This window comes from Homo sapiens, chromosome 2 (assembly GCF_000001405.40).
Source record: "Homo sapiens chromosome 2, GRCh38.p14 Primary Assembly".
NCBI lineage: Eukaryota > Metazoa > Chordata > Mammalia > Primates > Hominidae > Homo > Homo sapiens.
In genome coordinates, this window is record NC_000002.12 from 157,402,523 (window position 1) to 157,424,444 (window position 21,922).

A 21,922-nucleotide genomic window follows, 5' to 3' on the forward strand; every position below is an offset into this window, starting at 1 on the left:
TTACAAAGGGTTCGAACATCCTCCTTTAACTCAGAGAAGTTTGTTATTACTGATCTTCTGAAGTCTTCTCTCAACTCGTCAAAGTCATTCTCCATCCGGCTTTGTTCCGTTGCTGGTGAGGTGCTGTGTTCCTTTGGAGGAGAAGAGGTGCTCTCATTTTTAGAATTTTCAGCTTTTGTGCTCTGAATTCTCCCCATCCTTGTGGTTTTATCTACCTTTGGTTTTTGATGATGGTGATGTACAGATGGGGTTTTGGTGTGGTTGTCCTTTCTGTTTGTTAGTTTTCCTTCCGACAGTCAGGACCCTCAGCTGCAGGTGTGTTGGAGTTTGCTGGAGGTCCACTCCAGACCCTGTTTGCCTGGGTATCACCAGCAGAGGCTGCAGAACCACAAATATTGTGGAACGGCAAATGTTTCTGCCTGATCCTTCCTCTGGAAGCTTCGTCTCGGAGGGGCACCCGGCCATATGAGGTGTCCATCCACCCCTACTGGGCGTTGCCACCCAGTTAGGCTACTCGGAGGTCTGGGACCCACTTGAGGAGGCAGTCTGTCCGTTCTTAGATCTCGAACTCCATACTGGGAGAAGCACTACGCTCTTCAAAGCTGTCAGACAGGGATGTTTAAGTCTGCAGAAGTTTCTGCTGCCTTTTGTTCAGCTATGCCCTGCCCCCAGAGGTGGAGTCTACAGACGCAGGCAAGCCTACTTGAACTGCAGAGGGCTCCTCCCAGTTCGAGCTTCCCTGCCACTTTGTTTACCTACTCAAGCCTCAGCAATGGCAGGTGCCTCTCCCCCACCCTCACTGCCGCCTTGCAGTTCAATCTCAGACTGCTGTGCTAGCAGTGAGCCAGGCACAGGATCTAATCTCCTGGTGTGCCATTTGCTAAGACCATTGAAAAAGTGCAGTATTAGGGTGGAAGTGACCCGATTTTCCAGGTGCCATCTGTCACGGCTTCCCTTGGCTAGGAAAGGGAATTCCCTGACCCCTTGCACTTCCCGGGTGAGGTGATGCCTCGCCCTGCTTCAGCTCACACTCCGTGGGCTGCACCCACTATCCAACAAGCCCCAGTGAAATGAACCCGGTACCTCAGTTGGAAATGCAGAAATCACCCATCTTCTGCATCGCTCACACTGGAAGCTGTAGACTGGAGCTGTTCCTATTCGGCTGTCTTGTAACCTCCCCGACTTGTGGCTTTTTCAATTATCCATTTCTCTTTTCAGAAGTGTGGAAGCACCACCAAGTAAGATCCCAGCATTTTCAAAAGATTTAGGACAGAAAATGGAAACATGATCAATAAAGGTTAGTTTCCAATGCTGAATCTAGCAATCAGGGGCTTAGGAAATTAATTTACATATTGAAGAGATATGATCTTCTGTTCATGCTGATAATGCAGGTTTTACTGGTTAAGCTCAGAATAGGTAAAAATAAAAAGTATTTGCTGGCCTGAAGAAAGAAGTCTGTGGGAAAGTAAAGATGTAAGAAGTGGGAAAGACATGCATTCATTTCAGTTAGAAATACCAGCAAAGAGAAAAAGGAGATAGAAATCATTGGAGGCAAGGGAATTGAGGGAACTCCTTCTAGATGGCTTCCACTTCAGCAGACTAGGAGTCATGGTTACATGCAGAAAATGATGTTGAAAAGCATGGAAATTTCATACATTCATGTTGGAAAATCTAAGAGGAGGTTATTAGGAGGTAGCTTTCTTCTTAAGACACTTTTAATATTTTTGACATTTTTTATCATTTTGCTTATACTCCATCCCGATTACAGTTCACCAACACCAGAGCTAACAGAGAAATTATAAACTTCCAGGGTAGTGTTTCTCAAAACATGGTTCCTAGCTATTAATGCAAGAATCTTTTAGGGAACTTGTTTATACAAAGACTTCTGAAACCCACCCAGGCCTATTCAACAGAATCTCTGGGGCCCAATGCCTGAGAATCTGCACCTTTACGAGTTGCTCAGGTGATTCTGAAGCAGCAAGCCAGCATTTGACGGGAGGCTGCTGTTTTAGAACCACTAGATTAGCTCATGTCTCATCCAGGTAGTCTCATGCATGACTATTCACCCACATCCTGTTTTTAATCAGTGGTTCTGTCTGTAGTTTTGAAACTCAGAATAAAATGTCACATATTGTGGTGAGGAAATAACAACCATGTCTTCAAATACAGCTGGTTGGGATCAGATCCCTACTCATTATCATTTTCTATGTTTTTCCTATTTTTAGTTTATACTTTTAAAATTTACTTACATCATTTATTGATAACCAAAAATGGTAGAGTTATTATAATTAAGCAATTTTTATAATAATAAATAGCATTGTCTAGCAAGCTCATTTCTTTTTTTTATTATTATACTTTAAGTTTTAGGGTACATGTGCACAACATGCAGGTTTGTTACATATGTATACATGTGCCATGTTGGTGTGCTGCACCCATTAACTTGTCATTTAACATTAGGTATATCTCCTAATGCTATCCCTCCCCCCTCCCCCCACCCCACAACAGGCCCCAGTGTGTGATGTTCCCCTTCCTGTGTCCATGTGTTCTCATTGTTCAATTCCCACCTATGAGTGAGAACATGAGGTGTTTGGTTTTTTGTCCTTGCAATAGTTTGCTGAGAATGATGGTTTCCAGCTTCATCCATGTCCCTACAAAGGACATGAACTCATCATTTTTTAAGGCTGCATAGTATTCCATGGTGTATATGTGCCACATTTTCTTAATCCAGTCTATCATTGCTGGACATTTGGGTTTGTTCCAAGTCTTTGCTATTGTGAATAGTGCCACAATAAACATACGTGTGCATATGTCTTTATAGCAGCATGATTTATAATCCTTTGGGTATATACCCAGTAATGGGATTGCTGGGTCAAATGGTATTTCTAGTTCTAGATACTTGAGGAATCACCACACTGACTTCCACAATAGCTGAACTAGTTTACAGTCCCACCAACAGTGTAAAAGTGTTTCTAGTGTAAAAGAGGATTGCTTCACATCCTCTCCAGCACCTGTTGTTCCCTGACTTTTTAATGATCACCATTCTAACTGGTGTGAGATGGTATCTCATTGTGGTTTTGATTTGCATTTCTCTGATGGCCAGTGATGATGAGCATTTTTTCATGTGTCTGTTGGCTGCATAAATGTCTTCTTTTGAGAAGTGTCTGTTCATATCCTTCACCCACTTGTTGATGGGGTTGTTTGTTTTTTTTCTTGTAAATTTGTTTGAGTTCTTTGCAGATTCTGGATATTAGCCCTTTGTCAGATGAGTAGATGATTGCAAAAATTTTCTCCCATGCCTGTTCTCTCTGATGGTAGTTTGTTTTGATGTGCAGAAGCTCTTTAGTTTAATTAGATCCCATTTGTCAATTTTGGCTTTTGTTGCCATTGCTTTTGGTGTTTTAGACATGAAGTCCTTGACCATGCCTATGTCCTGAATGGTAATGTCTAGGTTTTCTTCTAGGGTTTTTATGGTTCTCTCTCTCTTTTTTTTAAGTTAGCCTTGCTAAAGGCTTTTCAATTTTGTTAATGTTCTCAGGGAACTAGCTCTGGTTTCATGATTTTCTCTACTGAATTTCTAGTTTCTATTTTATTGATTTATGTTCTAATTGTTGTTAATTATATTATTCTATATATTTTGGATTTAATTTGCATTTCTTTTAAATTTCCAAAGGTGGAAGCTTATATTATTGATTTTAGATCTTTTCCCCTTTCTAATACATGCATTAAATGTTCTGAATTTCCCAGTAAGCACTGCTTTTGCTGCATACCACAATTTTTGATATGTTGTTTTTATTTTTATTTATTTTAAAATATTTTTTAATTCCTCTTGATATTTCTTCATTGACCTCTGTGTTATTTAGAAGTGTGTTGTTTAATCTCCAAGTATTTGAGGAATTTTCTAGCTAATTTACTTCTTTAGATCTATTGTGATCTGAGAGCAGACATTGGAAGATTTATGTTCTCTTAAATTTGTTAAGGTATATTTTATGGTCCAGTATGTGGTCTATGTTGATGAATAATCCATGTGAGTTGAGGAAGAATGTGTATTTTTCTGTTTTAGAATAAAGTAGTTGATAGATATCAGCTATATTCAGTTGATTGATGATGTTATTGATTTCAGCTATGTCCTTGCAGATTTTCTGCCTGCTATATTTGTCCATTTCTGGTAGAGGGTGTTGAATTCTCCAACTGTAATAGTGGATTAAACTAACAGACTACAGTTAGTTTTCATTTCATGTGTTTTGCTGCTTTGCTAGGCACATATGCATTAAAAATTGCTATGTCTTCTTGCAGAATTGGTCCCTTTATCATTATATAATGTTCCTCTTTATCCCTGATAATTTTCTTTGCTCTGAAGTCTCTTCTGTTTGAAATTAATACAGATACTCCCACTTTCTTTAAAGTAGTGACAACATGGTATGTACTTTTCCATCATATACTTTTAAATTCTATATTTAAAGTGGATTTCATGTACACAACATATTTATTTCTCTATAAAGAGATATATAAGTTTCTGCTGTGGGTTCCTGCCCTAGTCCATCATGATTCTTTGCATGTGCCTGTCTGCAATTAACGGGACAGTGATTTGCCCTGTGACCTCACTTCTTTGATGCATCTAAAAAGAGCTGTTGATTTTTCAGTTAAGTTTTTTTTTTCTTTCTTTCTTTCCTTTTTTTTTTTTTTTTTAAGACATAGTTTCAGTCTGTTGCCCAGGCTGGAGTGCAGTGGTGCAATCTCGGCTCACTGCAACCTCTCCCTCCCGGGTTCAAACCATTCTCTGCCTCAGCCTCCCAAATAGCTGGGATTACAGGCGCCTACCACCAGGCCTGGCTAATTTTTGTATTTTTAGTAGAGACGGGGTTTCACCATCTTGGCCAGGCTGGTCTTAAACTCCTGACCTCGTGATCCACCAGCATCGGCCTCCCAAAGTGCTGGGATTACAGGCATGAGCCACTGCGCCCGGCTGTTAAGTTTTTTACTTGCTGTTAAGACAGAGTTGTGACTTCCAACTTCGTTACATGCCCGACCAGAAGCCACAAGTCTGCCAATTTTTTTTTTTTTTTTTAGACGGAGTCTCGCTCTGTCGCCCTGGATGGAGTGCAGTGGTGCGATCTCGGCTCACTGCAACCTCCAACTCCCGGGTTCACGCCATTCTCCTGCCTCAGCCTCCCGAGTAGCTGGGACTACAGGTGCCAGCCACCATGCCCGGCTAATTTTTTATATTTTTAGTAGATACGGGGTTTCACCGTGCTAGCCAGGATGGTCTCGATCTCCTGACCTAGTGATCCACCCGCCTCGGCCTCCCAAAGTGCTGGGATTACAGACGTGAGCCACTGCGCCCGGCCCAAGTCGGCCAATGTTTTTAAAATAAAATTTTGTTTACATTTTATGTTAAATTTTACATAAAATTTAAAAAAGTATTTAAATTTTCTCAATTAATTCAAATACTTTATTATTCCACTGTGGTTTTTATTTATTCGTTTTACTCTTTTTAGTTAATTAAAATGTGCTTATTTTTTAGTAAACTTTATTTTTTAGAACAATTTTATATTTACAGAAAAATTGTGAAGATAGCACAGGGTTCCCAATATTAGATGTGAATAGGGGAGACTGAGCGCAAAAATACTTTGTACCCAGTTTCCTATTATTCACATCTAATGTGATTATGGTATATTTGTTACAAGTACTGAACCAATATTGGCACATTATTAACTAAAGTTTAAACTTTATTCAGAATTCCTTTTTACCTAGTGTCCTTTTCTGCTCCAGGTTGTTCTCCAGGATACCATGTTCTATTTAGTCATCATGTCTCCTTAGGCTTTTCTTGGCTATGACAGATTCTCTCACTCTACTCATTTTTAATGATCTTGACAGTTTTGGGAAGTGCTGGCGGATATTTTATAGAGTATCTCTTAATTGGAATTTGTTTGGTGTTTTTCTCATGATTAGACTGAAGCTATGGGTACTGGGCAAGAGGACCACTGAGACAAAGTGTCATTCTCACTATATAATATCAAGGACACATATTAGCAACATAAACCTATGGCAATTGATGTTGATCTCGATCACCTGGCTGGAGTAGTGTTTGTCAGGTTTCACTACTGTTAAATTACTTTTCCCCTTTTTCCATACCATACCCTTTGGAAAAAGGTCATCATATTCAGCCCACACTTAAGGAATGAGGAGTTCTGCTCCTCTTCCTTGAGGGTGGAGTATCTACATAAGTAACGGGAAATTTTTCCATACAGGAGGTTTGTCTCTTCACTCCATTTATTATTTACTCAGTCATTTATTTATATCGCTATGGACACATGAATGTATACTTATTTTATATTTTGGGTTATAATTTAATACTGTTTTATTTGTTGCTCCAAGTGTTTCATCTTTGGCCATTAGGAGCCCTTCTGATTGACTTCTATTTCCCTTTGACATATCTCAATCTTTATAAGGTTTTTTAAAAATATTTTATTACTTTCTGACATTACAAGATGCTGCAGGCCCTTCTTGTTCATTCCCTGCCCCAGACCTAGAATAAGCCATTTCTCCACGTAACTCTGGTTTATTTTATTGGGGAATGGTATTAGAAGCCAAGATCTTGGTGCTATGTGTGTTCATTGCTGCTAAAGTGTCATTACTTCCTTGACCTCTCAGCTGACAGAGCAAGGAAATAAGTGTGTATAAACTAATTCATGCATACACAGATATCTATAAATATTTATGTATGTAATCATCCATACTTTTATTAAGCTAATATTGAGTGCATACGGATGTCTAATCTAGCATTCTCCCTTACTTATCTGTGAACTTTGAATCCAACAGTAAGAAATCTGACTCCCATTATCAGCCATAAGAATTTATTAACTCTTCAATTGCAGTATACATATGTAGCACTGTCAGAGTTATTAATTGTATTCATGTGGAAAGCAAGTTTTTCTGTTAAGTTTTTCTGTTAGAGCAGAATGTTTTTGTGTGTTTTATTTTGTCTTTCATTTTATAAACTCCAATCATTTCCAGAGCTACTTAGCTCAGCATCTTTTTTTTCCACGCTCTTAAGTTGTTTTATACATTTTTGATACAGTTAGATTGTTTTTGTCACATTCTTCATTCTATCCTGGGATCCCCCAACCACCTAAGTGGATTTTTTGATAATTTGCATGCTTTTAGGATAACTCTTCATTCTGTAAAGTGCTATGGGTTTTGGCAAATGCAGAGTCATGTATCCAAGATTACAATATCGCACAGAAGAGTTTCATCACTATATAAAACTCACCAGTCTTCCTCCTATTCAACCATCTCCATGCCTTCTTCCCAGCCCTAACTCCTTAAAACCACTCATATCTTTACTATTGCTATAGTATTGCCTCTTCCACCATGTCATATAAATGGAAACATACAGTATTAGTCTTCTCAAACTAGTTTCTTTTACCTAACAACATGCATTTAAGATTCATAGTGTCTTTTAATGACTTGATAGATTATTTCTTTGTAGCTGAATAATATTGCATCTTATAGATGTAACCGTTTGTATATCCATATTTTCTCACAGCCTATGACTTGTCTTTTGATTCTCTGAACAGTGCCATTCACAAAGCAGAAGTTTTAATTTTTATAAAGTCTAATGTATCAACTTTTTCTTTCATAAATCATCCTTTTGATGTATCCAAAAACTCATTACGACACCAAAGGAAATCTAGAATTTCTCCTATGCTATCTTATAGAAGTATTATAGTTTTGTGTTTTATACCTATGTCTATGATCCATTTTGAGTCAATTTTTGTGAAACATATAAGAGCTTGCATATTGGACAGAACCATTTGTTGAAAACACTATCCTTTCTACATTTAATTGACTTTACTTCTGTGTCAAAGATAATTACTATATTTGTGTGTGTCTATTTCTAGGCACTCTGTTCTGTTCCACTGATTTATCTGTCTATTCTTTTGCCAATACCATGCTGTAATGATGACTATATTTTATATTAAGTCTTTAAAAGGATATTGTAATTCCTCCAACTTTGTTGTTCTTCAGTATTTTCTTGGCCATTATATGTCTTTTGCCGTTCCGTATAAACTTTAGAATTAATTTGTTGATGTCTACAAAATAGCTTGCTAGAATTTTGATTGAGATTACACTGAATCTACAGATTAAGTTGGGAAGAACTGAATTGTAAAACTATGGAGTCTTCCAATCCATGAACACTGACTCTCTATTTAGGGTTATAGTTTACCATATTGAGATCCTGTAATGTTTTGTTAGATTTATATCTAAGTATTTTATTTTTGTATGCTGTCAACATATTGTTTTTCCTTTTTCAAATTCCAGTTGTTCATTGTTGATATGTAAGAAAGCAATTGACTATTGTATGTTAACCTTGTATCCCATGACCTTGCTATACTCACTTAGTAGTGCCAGGATTTTTTGTTGCACTGTTGATTCTTTGAGACTTTTCACATAAACAACATATCATCATAAAGAGTTTCTTTTCTTCCTTCCTAATTTGTGTATCTTTTATTGCTTTTCCTTGCCTTATTGCACTAGCGAAGATTTTTCATACAATGTAGAAAGGAGAAGTGAGAGAAAATGTATTTGCTTTGTAACTGATCTTAAGGAAAGTGTCCAGTTTGCCACCATTATAATATTAGCTGTAGGCTTTTTGTTGATGTTCTTTATCAAGCTGAGGAAGTTATCTTTTATTTCTAAGATATACATTTTTTATTCTTTCAAACTTCTTTTTTTCCCTCAAGTTCTGATAATTTTGTGATATCGTCTAACTTTTGCTCATGGCTGATCATTTCCTTTTGTGCTTTGTAGTTTTGATAAGTGTTTTGTTTACTTTTCTGTGTAAAAGTTCCTACTATCATCTGCTTATGAAGATGCGCCTGCCTAGAAGTGGCAAACTTCAGTATGCCAATCACTATTCACTTAAATGCATTCAGATTCAAGTAAAATTTGAAAGCAAGTAACTAGTTCATTCTTTCTTATTCTTTTTAAATCTTCTTTTATCACTTCACGCACCAAGGAGACAAAGTCAGGAGGCCAGAAAGTTTCTTAATCAACTTTTTGGCTAGTTATGCAATCTTGACCAGGTTATTTCATTCCAAAATTCACTAATGCTTCCATTTCTTTATGTGGAAATTATTATGACAGTCACTAATTTTTACTCAAGGAGATTTAGAGACAGCTCAATACCCTTATATTATCAAGTCTGTGAACTCCTTGAATGGTGTTACAAACAGACTAAGGTGGTCCCCTGATCCCTAACTCCTAATATTCATGATTGTGTAATCCCTGCTTCTTGAGTGTGGGTGGGCCTGTGACATGTTTCTAACAAACAGAACATGGTACAGTTGATAGGATACTATTCCCATCTTAATGTTACATTATTAGGCGAGGTGACGGGAAGTCACTTAAGAGGTTATGTTACATGGCAAAGGCGATAACATTGTATTATTTAAGACTCTGTCTTGTTTGTAGCCTCTCCCTTTTTCCTCTTCATTACCAGCCTTTAAGAATCAAGCTGCCATGAATTGTATGGCCACCAGGTAATGATTCTGACAGCAACCTGAAGGAGCTTAAAGGTTGATCCTTCTCCAATCAAGCCTCCAGATAACAACACCAAAATTGCAGTAAATTGCAGGTTTGTGAGATCCTGAGCAGATCCAGCTAACCTGTGCCCAGACTCCTGGCCCACAGAAGCTTTGAGATAATAAATATATTTTAGGCTTCTAAGTTTGTGGTTATTATTTATTTATTTTTATTTTATTATTATTATTATTTTTTGAGATGGAGTTTCACTTTTCTTGCCCAGGCTGGAGGGCAATGGTGTGATCTCGGCTCACTGCAATCTCCACCTCCCGGATTCAAGCGATTCTCCTGCCTCAGCCTACGGAGTAGCTGGGATTACAGGCATGCACCACTACACCCGGCTAATTTTTGTATTTTTAGTATAGACGGGGTTTCATCATCTTGGTCAGGCTGGTCTCAAACTCCTGACCTCAGGTGATCCACCCACCTCGGCCTCCCAAAGTGCTGGGATTACAGGTGTGAACCACCATGCCTGGCAGTAATTTGTTAAATAGCAATAAAAAAGCTAATAGTGCAAAGTCTCAATTAAGTAAGTAGTGTCTTTTAAGGTCCTCAAAGAAGTAAATGTTGAGAATCACCCAGGTTTTTTAAAAAGTCTGCTTTTAAGACAATTATTTCTTTATGGTAGAGAGAAATGTAGGGAGAGAGAGAGAGACAGAGAAAGAGAGAGAAAGTCCTGACACTGAAAAATAGCATTCTTTATTTCATAAAGGCATCAAATTTTGATTTTGTAGCCCATAGGTATGTAAGGAAATGGATATAAAATAACAATACTTTTATGATCTGAGGGGCTCAATATAGTTATGTATTACTTACTATTTTTAGTATGTATACATTCAAAAATGTCTGTACTTTGGTGATCAAGACACACATACTATTTCCAAGTTTGATCTATTCAGCGCAAACTGGGATTTTAAATGCTATCTGTATCTTAAGATATAAAATTATTACAAGGTAGAAAGTCATAAATAAAAGTTCACTTCCAAAAATATATTACTAATCTGTTTGTCATGGTTGTGTTCTTCAGCCACATGATAAAGTAATTCCCAATCTACTTGATTCAAATTTGGTTTATCAAATGCCCTTCTAGAAAAATGCATTTTCATAACAGGTTGTCAATTAATGGAATTCACCAGTAATACATATTTGAGAACTTTCAAGTTAAAAAAACACTTTTCAATTTTTTCCCTAGTAAATTATATCAGAATGAATCACTATGCACCAGAAGTTTCTTCTAAAGCCTGACTGAAGTCATAAATTAGTCTGAAAGTTATACTGTGAGAAATTTACCCACATTTCTACTAAACAAAAGCTAATTTTCTTACAGCTTGTGAAATATAGAACATGACATACCCTTCCTTCCTGTACTTTGGTTAACCAGTACTTTTTTCTTTATTCTCAGAACATACCTCGACTCTAATTCTTACCGCAAACTAAAGTGATGCTTGCTCCGTCCCTTCCCTGCCCCTTTTTTGCATTTGAGGTCTACTGTCATACAGCAGTGTTACACTTCTGTATTAAAATCACAAGAAAAGCAAATGATCTATGGTCTGCTTTCCCGTATGACCTATGTCATTCTGTGTAGTTCTCAAAGCATTTTTTCACCTTGTAGAAGATTTCAAAGTCATCTTTCCTCAAATAAATGTGGTGTTTCCTTCCCCTGGACTTTGTGAAATAGGATAACAAGAAATGCTGAATTCATATAAGTAGACCTTTAACAGGATGATTCTAGACTATGATGAGAAATAAGCAATACCAGTTGAATCATAACTGGTTTGCAAGCTCTTGTTGAAAATAAATGCACTGCTAATCATGTAGTTATTAAAGAACCTATGTCTGAAACTTGTATATGAGGAACAGAGAAATGTTTGTTTTCCTATTTACCCAAAGAAATGCTCTTATCTGTGCAGCATCTATAATTGTACATTTTAAGTATTCCTGTTGGGTGGAATAAAAAGTACTGTGATGATCACTAAACAGAACCAAAAGAGTAAAAGATATCTGGAATAGACTAGAGCAAGGAAGAACTGGCTTCCAATTTTAGCCCTGCCACTGACTAGCCTTGTGACCCTGAGAACATTTCCAAATTCCTGACTTGTTATCTGTATGCCTAACACCTACTATATAGTAATTGTGAGGATCATACGTAAAGTGTCTTTAGCCAACTAGGTACTCAGTAAATGGTAGACAGTATTGCTATCATTTCTGTGAAAGGTGTGACACCCTGCCTTTCATATGAGTGACTGTCATGCACAGGCCACTGGATGTTTCTCAGTTCAAAGAGTTAATAGAAGGCAAGTCCCAACTAGAAATCTTTTCATACTTTATCATTTCTTTCTCATCTTAGATGCTTCCTTACCCTACCCTCTTTTATCTCAAAATAACTCATTTCTTAAGCAGAAGTTTAATTAAATTTAGCAGCTCTACTTAAATTGAAGTGTTTCTATTTCTCCCAAACACACACACACACGCACAGAGAGAGAGAGAGAGAGAGAGAGAGAGAGAGAGAACTTAAAATCAGCAGACTATTTATTACATAGTCCAGATTGTCTACTCTAGAATATAGGTTATGAATAGCTGTGCCACCAGAACAGAGAATTCATAGACTTCAATGGATATTAAATAAAACATGGAGTAATTGAAAGGCTAGAAGTAATGTGATACTAACATAACCAATAGGCAAAAGACTGCTGAGGTGATAGCTATTTAGAATATAAGATATAAAGTGAGAAGTAATATGAAAAAAACTACAGGAGGGAAGTCCTTTTCCCAACCCTCAGTTTTGGATGTTAGACATTTGTAGAAAAAAAATTACAAAGCTGTAGGATTCGGAGAGTTCTAGACTTGCCATTAATGTTCAGGCAGAACAAAAGCTGAATTGGGCAAAAAACACGACATCCCCACCCATTTTGTTTAGACTGTCTATAAAAATGACTTTATTATGATCTTTGCAGCACCCATCTCAGACCACATCTTTCCATGGTTCTCATGAACCTTAACCCCTCCTATTAAATCTTATACTTCCCGCTTTATTGTCACTATAGATGTGAGAAACAGCTGATGGTCATCTTTGTTTACAAGCCATTACAGGTTTGAACAAATTCAAAATTGCCTATTATTAAGCCTCCGCAGGAGCTACTGGGCATAAGCAAACCTAAGATTTTATAACCCAGCAATTATCCTATAGAAAATAGTCCAGATTATTATATTCTGCCACACCTTTATTCATACTTGACTCCAAAAAGTTCTCAATTATTCACAGGGATAATCTAGAAAATAAATATTAGTTTTGCTTTCAAAGACATTACTGGAATGAGCAGGAACCTGCATCTTTGTTATATTAATTAACTTATTATTTAGTTTTCCTGTCTGCTTAGAAATTGGCTGTTTAGGTTGAAAAATGATTTAAGAAGCATAAACTATAACACAACAATTTAAATAAAGGTCACTATTGCTGTGAAATGGGATGTCAGTTTTGCAATTCTTCTGCACTTTCCCACCAAGCTGGGATCTGGGTGAGTCTAGAGATATTTGTGAAATAAGCTAATTTGAAAGGACACCACAATCCGTCAAAAGCGACTTTCTTCCTCTTCCACAGCACGATGAAGGCCAGGGATAAATTTCAAGAGTTGCTTTCGGACACTTCCCTTTCTGCTCTTCCGGGGCAGGGTCCCAAACATGCTTGATAAGTTGCCCTCCCACAAGGGAGACATGGATCCGCTGCTGGTGTTACTGATGCTCCGGTTCCTCCTTGAAGATGACCTCCTCAGAAAATCATCCCCCTCCTTGGGGATAAAGCACTCATCATCTGTACTCGTCTGCCGACTGAAGGCACCCCTGCTGGAGTCCTCAGACACACACGTCTGGTAGCCATCTTCACTGTCCATCGTCATGGAGCTCAGCCAGCTCTTACAGCTGCTCTCACTGGATAATCGATTCCGGTCCACAAGGGCTGGGCCTGGCCCAGGCAGGGGTCCAAACAAAGACAATTCATCCAAGTCCATGTTTTCCAAACTGGGGCAATTAGCTGCATCACCTAGAGCACAAAGTCTACTGTGAAATGGATCTGTTCATTACTCCCTACAAATAAATACACTACATCAAAACTTCTCTTTGAATGACACGAGAAAGAGTAAGGGTGAAAAATACTTTTCACTGAGCTTTGGCGTGCTTGAATAAGTAACTGTTTATGAGACCATTTGATAAACCTTATAGTAGGGTTTCCTGAACTATTGTTCATAGACCAAGGTTCCATGGTCACAAAAATTATAATATTAGAATAAATTTAAACAAGATGTTTCATATGAGAACAGTTCAGCCCAATTGACAGTCTACCAGTGTGGCATCTGAACCTCCAAAATGATCATTTCTTAAATTTAAATAACCCTGAAACCTTTTATTAAAATTCTCACAGAAATGGGGTTCCATAGAATACACTTGGGGAAATACTATCATGATTTTCTCCACTTAGTTTCTCTGATTCTTAGGTACTGTCTTTTAAAAATAATTCTAAAATTATTATAAAACCATTTGAAGTAAATAGAAAACAGTTATGGAACAGGTAATTCAAAAGTGTTTCTTAGAGAAAGGATTTGTGAAATCAAATGTATCTTCCAACCTCAATATTCCCAGTTTCGTTTTGGAATACTTAAATTCTCTGGAATGATACTGTACCCAGAAATCATCCTTGTCCTCAAGTAAGTAATAATTTATTTGAAGAAATTGAATTTTATCTGCTTGGCTAAATTTTTTTCATTGATCCTTAACAACGTACATCTGGCTCTTCAAACTCTAATGTTAATCACATACCAATATGACCCTCCCTGCTTCCACACTAACTGAGTTGGTTGGTATCTTGTGTGTGTGTGTGTGTGAGAGAGAGAGAGAGAGAGAGAGAGAACTTGTAATACCAGCCTTGGAAAAACGTAATCAGTAAGTGACTATGCTTCAGAAAAAATAATAGAATACTGTACACTCTAAAATGGTTTTATTTTGTACTGATTATCTCCACTGCTGCTGTCTTTTGTCCTCGGTTGACAATATAAAAAGAAACTGTTCTTTCAGATGATTTGCAAGGTTGAGTACAGCCAGCCCCATGGTGACTAGTCATAATGCTTTCCTTTTTGCTAATACAACCTACTTCATTTCATCTTGCAATAAGTGATGAATTTCTTTTGATTGGAGAGCAATTGCCTTATAGAATCACATGCCCTGGATGTTTACTATACATCTAGAAAAAGCAGAACTCCTTCAATTGCTCAAAAAATATGTACAACAATGACTTTATGAGGATCCTGACCTAACAATGTTGTCTATACAAGGCTGTTTCTATAGAACAGCAAGAATTTATATTCACTGGGCCATTCAGGATGCTCCAGAAGTGGAAATGAGGCTAAAAAGCCCTCATGTCTAAAGAAAGCAAGGAGGTGGCTGAATTTACAAGGCCATAAAGAAGTTTTTGTATTAAATATTTCTGCCTCTCTAACAAACTTCACTACCCAAAAGAACTATTATGAATTTTTTAAAAATATTAAATGAAGACATAAAAAAGAGAAGTAACTTGTACATAAGTTTCAAACACTTCAATTTAAAAAAAAAAAAACAGAAGTTCATACCAGAACTCTAAGCCATAAATTAGTGACTAGTTAAGGATTAAATTGTTATCTTTTTTGGTAAACAAATTGATTATCACTTTTAACAGATATTCTAGGTTACAGACTTAAGCTTGGTGCTATTTAAAGAAGAGATAAGCTATATTTCACACCCACGTAGTGGTTTCAGTGAATTATTTGTACACAAAAGTTCATTCCTTTGGTTACATCTATCATACAACAAATAGCGAATTAACACATTTTAAACTCAACCCTTCCCTTAAAAATGCACTCAATGGCAAGAGCTATGCATTTACTGTTGTATTCATCTTACGCATTTATGTCTTTGTCTTGGGGGCCATGAAAAAGAATTTCTCTGCATAAATGCAACTTATGCAATTTAAACAAAAGACAGGAGCTCTACCCAATAAGTGTGCAACCATTCCAGCTTTAATAGCTTCTAAAAACTATACAGCCCCTTAGCCGTGATTGTTTTCAGAAATGTAATTCATTCACTGAAGTAGAAGGAAAGTTAGGCAATCTTCCCCAATGATTTTCTAAAATCTCCAGGTGCCTGTTTTCGAGCATGTGCATCTGTGTGCATGTGCATCTGCGTCATGATACGCAGTAGTGGATCTGACTTGCCTTACCCCTCCTCCAAATACAGCCATTCCAAAGCTCATGCCAAAGAAACACAGACCCATTTCCTTGACCAGCACTAGACAAATTTTTCTTATAATGATGATAATCTTAAACCAACTTTGAGGCAGAAATACTGAAAGAAGTAATGTTAGTGTGGTTTCTGAACAGGAAATTGCATTTACCATGAAGCAGACGATGTTCCTGTAACTGCAGAGATCTGTACTCCACCCATTTTTGTTTCAAAGTTTGCTGTGAGATTAAAAAAAAAAAAAAAAAGTTTTTATTATTAGGAAACCCCAGTGAAGCTAGCAATTTAATTCTAGGTGTTGAGATTTGTCATTAAATTTTTTACCTTTCTTTCTAGTACTACCATTCCATCTCATCCATTTAAAATATTTTTGCTGTATAAAAGGAGGATATTGAGAATACTATGCCCTCAAAAAATAATCTAGTAGTACCAACAAGCTTTCTTTTAAAAAACAAGAAAAACAATAAAATATACTTTTATTTAAACAATTATTTTAATAAGATTATTTGGGTTTGTGAAAACGTACTTGCTGTTTAGGCAAGGATTTATACTCTAGGATTCCCACATCTGTAGGATGAAGACAATAATAGAGCCTAAACCCCAGAAATGTTATGAGGATTAGATGAGTGCATAGATGTAAAATTTTTAGAACAGTGACTAGAACTTAGTTAATGCTCTACAAATATCACCATCAACATACAAGCCCAAAGACCTCCACCTCCCGGGTTCAAGCAATTCTTCTGCCTCAGCCTCCCAAGTAGCTGGGATTACAGGCACGCCCCACCATGCCCGGCCAAATTTCTGTCTTTTTAGTAGCGACGGGGTTTCACCACGCTGGCCAGGCTGATCTCGAACTCCTGACCTCGTGATCTGCCTACCTCAGCTTCCCAAAGGGATTACAGGCGTGAGGCACCGTGCCTGGCTTGGACAGCTATTTATTTTCCACACAAAAAAGGAGAACAGAACTATCTGAAATGCTTCCTTAGCGGGCTAAACTTAGAACACTGCTAAGCACCCTAACTTCTTAACTGCCTCCCTTCTTGGCTGCCCCAGCACACGAGAGCTGAGACCCACAGTGGGAATTAAGTAGCTGCCACATGGGTCAAGACAGCACACAAGTCTTGGCCTATCCCACAGAGGGGACTGAGGCAATGGCAATCTAAAACAAACCAGGCAGAAGGCATCTGAAAAGACATAGCCATAGGCTCACTGTCTCCCATTATTTATTCTCTACTGTTCCCCTTCCTTTGCAAATTCAGGTCCCTATAGCAAGCCTAGCAAGTGGGCACAGCTCAGGTTTGCCTGTGGACTCTTAGGCCAAAGGAAAGACAGCCTAGTTGAAACAAGCAATCCTTGCCACAAAGCAATCTGCAAGGAGTAGATGAAGGCTAAAAAGGAAGAGGCAAAAAATGTATATTTGGAGAAGGATTAAAGGAAAGAAAATAATAAAATTGCAAGAACGTCATTAAATGCTTAAGAGGAACATGGCTTGTTCCTCAGTCTTCAAAGATTGAACAATAACTGGGCAGAATTTTCCAAACTTTGATACTAGTAACAATTAACAGCAACCCTTATGGTTGCCAATATAAAATCGAGCAATAAATCAATCAAATGCTTGACTCAATCAACTTCTTGTTCTTTCTGTACCATAATATAGTCTAGACTAGCTTTAATACTGCTTTGAGGGCTGAGGGCAGTGGCTTACGCCTGTAATCTCAGCACTTTAGGAGGTTGAAGTGGGAGGATTGCTTGAGACCAGGAGTTTGAAACAAGCCTGGGCAACATAGTGAGACCTTATCTCTACAAATTTTTTTTTCTAATTAGCTGGGTATGGTGGTGCACACCAGTTCTTAAGAGGCCGAGGAGGCTGGGCACAGTGGCTCACGCCTGTAATCCCAATACTTTGGGAGGCTGAAGCAGGTGGATCGCCTGAGGTCAGGAGTTCAAGACCAGACTGGCCAACATGGCGAAACCCCATCTCTACTAAAAATACAAAAATTAGCTGGGTGTGATGGCAGGCATCTGTAATCTCAGGTACTCGGGAGGCTGAGGCAGGATAATCACTTGAACCTGGGAGGCAGAGGTTGTGGTGAGCTGAGATGGCACAATTGTACTCCACCCCAGGCAACAAGAGCAAAACTTTGTCTCAAAAATAAATAAATAATTTTTTTAAAAAAGAGGCTGATGTAGAAGGATCACTTAAGCCTGGGAGGTTGAGGTTACAGTGAGCTATGATCATGCTACTGCACTCCAGCATGGGCAATAGGGTAAGACCCTGCCACAAAAAAAAAAAAAAAAAAAAAAAAAAAGGACTGCTATGCTGCCTTATTCCCAGCTTTTAACTGTGTAAATCTGTGGTTATATGAAGGTCAAAATTAGGGACGTAGGGAGTATAAGGCTAGCAAGTGCCTGGCATACATACCAACCTCTTTCATCTTTCTTAAAGAGATTTATTTCCTACAAGAGACTAGCGTCCAGTTGAGGAGCATAGGGATAGGTCAACAGTAAAAACTAGAGACAGAAAGAAGAGGAAGTTATATTTCTGCACTTACTATCTAAAAATACGAAGTCAGCACTGGCTGACTTTATATATACAGTCAATTTTTGGAAAAATACTGGTTTTGCAATATCTGATTTGTTGATTTGACCCAGTCATTTCAGTATGTCGTCACTTAAACCAAGAAAATACCAGTGTAAAGAGCAGATGTGTCAAAGTGACTAAGGGTTTTTCAACTGTAACCAAGCTTCCCTATTTTCCTTTGGGTCTGTTTCTGCCTGTGTTACTGACATCACAATTGTTTATTTAGACATATCTGAGCTCTCATTGGATGAGAACTAAAGCACAAGTGAGATCTAACCCCACTGGGCAGCATCACCTCACTGTGCCTAGTTCAGTGCCAGCTACATAGCAGCTACTCAGTAAATAATGGTTGAATGAATACGTGAAAATAATGGCTTCCTAAAACAACTCTCAGCTATCACACATTTGTTCCAAAGAAGTTTCCAATGCTTTCAATCTACAGGAGACATACAGCTGAACATTTCCATGGCACTTTAGTACTTCAATTGTGTTTTCACTGATAACATGATATTTAATTTTCATAACTTCCCTAAAAAGTTACAGATTCGAAAATGAATATTCAATGTAACAAAATATTTCCCAAGCAATATAAACCCAGTAAATAGCAGAAGTAGATTACAAACTAGCTTTCCCAGCTAGCCCATTGGATGTGCTGTTTTCATGTTGAACATTTGAATCATAGGTCAGAAGAAAGGGAATCCCTGAAAATGTGGATCAGAAAGGACCACTGTTTCTAAAGAAGAGCCCCTGGTGCAATGAAGAGTCTTTGAGGGAAAGAATGCTGACTTACACAGGATGCACAAAATAAATGTCACTGTGTGGAGGGGAAACCAGCCTGACCTTGGCTATGGGTCAGACCAAGACATTTTTGGCTCAAGAGTTAAACGGAATCTCATAATTTCAAGATTAGAAACAGGACAGACATGCAAGATAGAAAACAGAATGAAACTTAAAGTCTTCTGGATATGGAGAAGCAGAAATAAATTCTATGGCAATATATGGTTTAAATACACCTATCTGAAACACAGGTCTGAGACAGGTTTTCCGCTTAAGAAAAAAACATTGGCTGAAGCTCCATCACTGGGAAAGGAGGCTGAGAAAAGCTGATGCTGCTGGCTATGGCTCATGTAGAGCTTGTATGTTGAAAGGCAGGAATACCTAAACACAGCCTCGTGACCTGAGCCAAACAGCTCACTGAGTCTTCAGGAAAGGCACGGAAGCCCCCAGACCTGGCTCTGGATTGATAGCCTTGAAGTGCCAAGTGGGGGCAAGCATCCAGTTATCACATTGTGCTGAAGGGAGAGGCTATATGCCATGCAAGAGAAGTAGGCAATCTAAACCTCCAAACACAGATGTTTAATGATAAAAAAGATAATAAAATTGATAATTTGTGCATAGATTGTCTCTAAACAAAATGAAAATAGAAAAGTGTTCAAGGCCAGGTGCGGTGACTCACACCTGTAATCCCAGCACTTTGGGAGGCCTAAGCGAGCGGATCACCTGAGGGCAGGAGTTCGCGACCAGCCTGCCCAACATGGTGAAAATCCTGTCTCTACTAAAAATACAAAAAGTTAGCCAGGCGTGGTGGCAGGTGCCTGTAATCCCAGCTACTCAGGAGGCTGAGGCAGGAGAATCCCTTGAACCCGGGAGGTGGAGGTTGCAGTGAGCCGAGATCATGCCACTGCACTCCAGCCTGGGTGACAAGGGCGAAACTCTGTCTCAAAAAAAAAAAAAAAAAGAAAAGTGTCCAAAAAAGACTTTAAAATAAGAATTTTTATAATCCTCTGAGAGATATAATCCTCTGAGAGATCAATGTTTATAAGAACAAGAAATTTGAAATGACAAAACAAGAACAGATAGACATGAAAAAGAACTACAAGATAATAAGAAAGTAATTTTTATAACTCAATAGAAATAACACATTCTGTACAGAACAGCTAGCAAGAACATTTCTGGAGATGTTACTAAAGAATTCAGAAAGAATATAACACAAAAATATAAATAAAGACCTATGAAATAGTCATTAGGAAGCATGAAAGATAAATCAAGAAACTATGCCTAACATGAATTCCAGAAGATAATACAAGAGTGGTGTAGAAGGTATATTCCAAAAAGATTGAGTTGATAGTTTTCCAAAGCTAAAGAAAGTCTTTAAACAGAAAGAGCACTATAAGATCTACACGGTATAAATTTAGAAATGAATCCAGAACTAATTGCATTGTAGTAAAACCGTAGATCAATAAGGACAAAAGAATATCTTAAAGCAACCAGAAAAAGGATTAAAGATGGCCACAAATACTGGTTTTCTAGAAGATCCAAAAATAGAAAATCCCGTAGAGAAAGAGTTATCAAGAAAAAAAAAGAAGCATAAAAAGTGGTACAAACTGCAAGAAAAAAATGGGGGCACACTCAATTTTTGACAAAAATTTAAAACATCAGAATAATATTTTACTGTCAACTCAGTTAATAAATTTAAAAACTTTGTTAACAAAAACATAAGTCGCTAAAACTGTCTTTAAAAAAAACCAGAAATCCTGAGTAGTCTCACAACTAATAAAGTAATTGAAACAGTACATTAACAGTATTCCCATCAAAAAAGAATCCTAAAACAAAATGATTCAGATGGTATTATTAAAATTCTGCCAGAAAATAAGAAGAGGAAAACAGTCCCCAGGTCATGCTAAGAGTCTAGTAAACTTGATACCAAAACTTAAAAAGATAATCTAAGAAAATAAAATTACAGGCCAGTCTACCTGAAAAATGAAACTCTTTCAAAATCCTAAATACAATATTAGCAAATCGAACCTGTAATTACATTTACAAATTATAAATTTCAAGAATAAGCCAGCTTGGGTTTATCATAGAAATGAAATGGTAGCTTTATATTAGAATATATTTAAATTTCATTCACATATTGACAGAATTTTTTCAAATGAATAAATGAGAAGACCAGCTTAACAGATGCATAAAAAAAGTATTTGATAAAGTTTAATGGACAAGCACTATAAACACTACCAGCAAACTTCGTATAGAAGGGAGTCTCCTTAATCTGAAAGATAGCTCATTCCTAGTGGAAAAGAAATTAGGAAGAATTTCCTTTAAAATCAAGAATAAAACAAGGATGCCTACAACCATAATTTCTATTCATTGTTGTATGGTAGCGCCTAAGCTGTGAAGCAAAGTAAGAAAAAGAACCAAAACTCATTCATAACAGATAGTTATTATCTCTACAGTAAATCCAAAATAATCTACAGATAATTCATTAGAGTTATTAGAATAGATATTACTATTCTATAATTTAGCAAAGTGTTTGAATATAGTCACAGCACAGAAAAATTTATTTCACATGTCTATTAACGTCAATCAAAGCATTAGTTTTTGTAAAGAAACGATAATAAGAACAAAAAACATAAGGTACAGAGGACTAAGTCTAACAGAAGATGTATAAGACCTATATGCATAAAATTATAACTTTATTAGAAAGACTTTAAAGAA

At 37.3% G+C, this 21,922-nt stretch overlaps 1 protein-coding gene across 2 annotated transcripts in view, besides 3 other annotated features; it reads right to left on the reverse strand.

Moving 5' to 3' along the window:
* Window positions 2,007-2,056: a silencer, noted in NCBI's record as "silent region_12025". NCBI's record gives its function as "represses an Ori minimal core promoter by ATAC-STARR-seq in GM12878 lymphoblastoid cells {active_cell/tissue: GM12878}" and the evidence as "EXISTENCE:reporter gene assay evidence [ECO:0000049][PMID:35858748]".
* Window positions 2,087-2,186: a silencer, noted in NCBI's record as "silent region_12026". NCBI's record gives its function as "represses an Ori minimal core promoter by ATAC-STARR-seq in GM12878 lymphoblastoid cells {active_cell/tissue: GM12878}" and the evidence as "EXISTENCE:reporter gene assay evidence [ECO:0000049][PMID:35858748]".
* Window positions 11,180-11,229: an enhancer, noted in NCBI's record as "active region_16670". NCBI's record gives its function as "activates an Ori minimal core promoter by ATAC-STARR-seq in GM12878 lymphoblastoid cells {active_cell/tissue: GM12878}" and the evidence as "EXISTENCE:reporter gene assay evidence [ECO:0000049][PMID:35858748]".
* CYTIP (cytohesin 1 interacting protein) overlaps window positions 12,097-21,922 on the reverse strand; it is a 29,471-nt gene continuing 19,645 nt past the window's right edge. For both annotated transcript variants that reach the window (NM_004288.5, XM_017005386.3), the window contains exons 7-8: window positions 16,001-16,067; window positions 12,097-13,621 (exon numbers count right to left, since the gene is read on the reverse strand). In NM_004288.5, the coding sequence (NP_004279.3) occupies window positions 13,155-13,621; window positions 16,001-16,067 (534 nt within the window). In that variant the 3' untranslated portion in view covers window positions 12,097-13,154. The remainder of the gene's footprint in view (window positions 13,622-16,000; window positions 16,068-21,922) is intronic.